General features: G+C 36.8%; 1 annotated feature.

The window, feature by feature from the left end:
- Positions 2,430-2,630: a silencer, noted in NCBI's record as "peak5753 fragment used in MPRA reporter construct". NCBI's record gives its function as "represses an SCP1 promoter by STARR-seq MPRAs in K562 erythroleukemia cells {active_cell/tissue: K562}" and the evidence as "EXISTENCE:reporter gene assay evidence [ECO:0000049][PMID:32103011]".

Genomic DNA, 4,227 nt, shown 5'->3' on the forward strand with positions numbered 1-4,227 from the left:
TCGTATATGCATTTATTTAACAAGTATTGACAGCTTACTAATTGGAGGAATTGCATTAGGTGCTATGATTCAATTTCCCCAAACATGTTTTTCATATTCTTATATGTATTTAAAAAACCACTGCATCGGGGTGACAGAATAAGGTTTTAAAATTCTAATATTAGACTGTCCACTACATTGTCTCAGTCTATCTTTCTGTTCAGTCAGTTAATTATTAGGATAAGAAGATACCATCAATCTGATTTTTCCCCCATATTTTTAAAGGAGAGGAGAGAGAACAATTTGGAAGGTCAAGAAGTTGGTATGCCCAGGAGCTCACAACTCTCACCTTTGGGGTTTTATGGAATATTTTTAGGCCTTATTTATTTATTAGTAAAAAAAAAAACAGAATAATGAGTTCTTCTCTGACAACTGTACAGGATTGTAAGGATCAAGTGTGTTTATGTGTATGAAGCACCATGAATATTATATATAATGTAATTGCAATAGAATATATATAGAAGTAGAAATCATACTTTGAAATAACAAGTGGCAGAAATATATATTGAAAAATATTAGTGGAGGATGTCACAAAGTTTGAGTTACTTGTTTTTCATTTCATTTTAAAATAAGCATATCTGAGTATGATGAGTTCTAAGGATTCCTTTCAGGGCAAAAATTGAGGCTACCCCATTGCAGTTGTCCAGTCTTTCCACAGGATGGCAAAGTATAGCCAGTATTTCTTTGAAATGTTTGCTTGCTTATGCCACTAAATTTTGAACTTAGCCTTCTAGAAATGAGTTTATAACTTATCTTTCTTGAAGGTAATCTCAGAGTACCTATGAAAAGACATCTATAAAATACTTTTGCAAAAATACCTAATACATCAAATGTGTGCTCACCACATCTCATCAAAGCAAAGTGTAAAACGTTCTCAGGGACCTGTAGAGCTAAAATGTCACCTTCTATGTTCAAGATATATGTTGAATTCTATGTCCGATTTCTTCTCATTATTGGACTTAATTCTGTAAAACATGAGGCTTGAACTTTTCATGAACTGATTGGTGCATCCTCTGCTTAATTGATTCTTCCCATTTGACTTGGAGGATGGTGTTGGCCAGAGGTCCTTTTTTGCGGAGGCCTTTAAAGATATTTATTCAGAAGAATGTACCACATGAGGCATTTGACTAATAAAAACACTGTTATTAACACTGACAATAAGCAAACACATATTTCTTTAGCTGTCTTGCAATTGGTACATTCTCCTCTTCCCATTGAGGAAGTATCTGCTCTACCCTTGCTTCAGATTAAACATTTTGAAACTCTCAGTTTTAACATTATTGAGCCTTACTATTATTGAAATAATTCTTTTCCCAAAACACCAGACTACACTCAAACTCCAGAAGATGCCCCTAACCAAGACTAATATTCTGACATCAAAGGAAATCTGTGGATAAGATATTGGGAACTTCTGAAAAATTTTAGTAGGGCTATGCCTAGAGAATTTTCATGATCTTAACAAATCTTGCTCATTCAGCAAGTCCTTAGAGAGCCTTCATGGGAACCTATGAAAAAGAAAGTCCTCAATGTATTACATGGAAAATAACGATAGCAACAACTATAATAATAATAGTGGCTGCATTTAAAGGGCACTTGCTGTATTCCAGGCATTGGCTTAAGTACCTACATAAGTTATTTTGTTCAGTATTTATCACAACCATATGAAAAAAATGTTCTTATCCACAATAAAGAAATGAAGTTTAGGCTGGGTGTTGTGGCTCACACCTGTAATCCCAGCACTTTGGGAGGCCGAGGAGGGCGGATCACCTGAGGTCAAGAGTTCGAGACAAGCCTGGCTAACATGGTGAAATCCTGTCTCTACTAAAAATACAAAATTAGCTGGGCTTGGTGGCGGGTGCCTGTAATTCCAGCTACTTGGGAGGCTGAGGCGGGAGAAACACTTGAACCCGGGAGGCAGAGGTTGTGGTGAGCTAAGATTGCACCATTGCACTCCAGTCTGGGCAAAGAGAGCAAAACTCTGTCTCAAAAGAAAGAAAGAAGGAAGGAGGGAGGGAGGGAAGGAAGGAAGGAAGGAAGGAAGGAAGGAAGGAAGGAAGGAAGGAAGTAAGTCAAGAAGTCTACAAAGTATAGGTAACTTGCTCAAGAAAATTAGGTTCAGAAAGTTTAAGTAACTTGCCCAGGGTAACACAATTATGAAGATTTGAGGCCAGAATTCAGTTCCAGGCAGTTTTGTTCTAGATCTATTGCTCTTCAGCCACTATAGTGTCATGCCAAGACTGGCCTAAAGTCGTGTCTTCTGCTCAAACAGGTCCTTCTATGGCAATGACCATGAAATACATGGCTAATAAAGTATTAGGGGCAGGAAGAGGGGGAAGAAGAATGCAGTATTTGAGACTATGGTTACTGACTATATTTAAAATCACAGTTTCATGACTATTAAGGTTCTTTTTAAACTTTTCTCCCTGATGTATCATGGTATCCAGGTGAAAGAGGATCTGGCTCCCTACATCCCAGGACGTGTAGAACTGTCCATGGTTCTGAAAGACAAACTAGCAGGTCCCACCACCTTTACAAATGGCAATCTTACTGTGGAAAACTGCACTAGTGAAAACTCTACATATGACTTTGTACATGCATCACTTACAAGGATTCAGCAATCCTTGGAAAGATGACATAGAAAGACCCACAGAATATTCCCTTTATATGCCCTATACTAAAATGTACAAAGCAAAATCAAATTAGACAACACTATGATTTAGAAGTTTATCTTGAAATTTTAGATCAGAATGTAAAGAAAAGAAATCCAGCATTATTGTATGGACAAGAGAGAATGGATATAGATTTTAACTAACTATATATTCCCTCAAAACTCATATGCTGTCCTTTTTAACCTCACCTTAATTTAAATTTAACCACACATTTACTTTCATTTTTGATTTTTATTTTGTATTTATGTTTTCTTTTATCTTGTATCTTCCAACCAGGATTTCGCCTTTTGCCTGAAGCATATTCTTTAGAACTCCCTTCAGTAAAAGCGTGTTTGTGTCAAATTGTCTTTGCTTGGAAAAAATCCATTGAGACTTGATTTTTATATTATCATGTATTTCATTTCTAAATGTTTTATATTTGTCTTTTCAATTTTTCCTGAACATTATTTGTAGTTTCTGATTAACTGGAAGTCTTTTAAAGCCTGTTTTTTAATCACAGGAAGCAGGGCTATTTTATGTCTTATTCTTATTATTCTGCTGTATGGTGTTTCTGCTTGATCTTTCATGGTGACTTGTATCTTGTAAATAGTTTTGTTGTTGTTTTCCTGGTAAGTGCTCATTTTGCTTATGGAATAATTTTAGGAAATTTTAAGTGTGGTTGATGACATCTTCCTCCAGAGAGGATTTGTGTTTGTTTTGCGTGTTATTTGCGTTTGTTTTTTGACAGGTTCCTTGGAGCCTGGCCCACTATAAACTGAATTCACAACTTGATGATTGCCAGACAATCCAGGTAGTGAGAACTTGGGCTGCAAATACATGTGTGGGGCCATTGTGTTTACTCCCAGTTCCACTCAGCACCAAGGCAGCTGTTCCTGCAGTCCTTTGAGCATGGGGCATTTCTCTTACACCGAGGAACTGAACTTAGGGGTCCCAGCAAAATGGAGGAGATCATCCTAGGAGATTTCCCACTTTGAGTGCTACTTGAGACTTGCCTCCTATTCCAAATTCCTTATGAGGCCATGGAAACTAAAGCTTAACTTGTCTACATTGAGCAAATGAGCTCAGGATAAAAGTAAATTCAGAGCTTCCTGATATTTATTAGACAGTTTTCACTGATGTGAAAGCCTCTCAGTGCTTTTATGATGTATTTTATCTTTTGATAACCCATTTTTTGTTAGCATGAGAGTAGGCGTAGATACCTAATATGCCACATTAGTGGTTCACACCTTATCCTTAAAGCTCCTTATCACAAACCTTCCCATCTTGTTCCTTTGAAGTCATTGAATACCTGAGCAAACTATTAGTCACTACCCATGCATTGATGAGGATCTAACAATAAGATATTTCTTTAGGCAAAATGAACTTCCAGATGGTCTGATTGAAAATCTTCCTGCTGGAGGTACTTTCCTTTCCACTCTTCTTTATGACAATTCCTGAAAAGGGCTGTAATGCTGCAAAGTACACTTTTGGGTATTCAAAGCATATTCAAATTTCTTCTTCTATAGTCAACAGTCCTTAG

This window comes from Homo sapiens, chromosome 6, assembly GCF_000001405.40.
Source record: "Homo sapiens chromosome 6, GRCh38.p14 Primary Assembly".
NCBI lineage: Eukaryota > Metazoa > Chordata > Mammalia > Primates > Hominidae > Homo > Homo sapiens.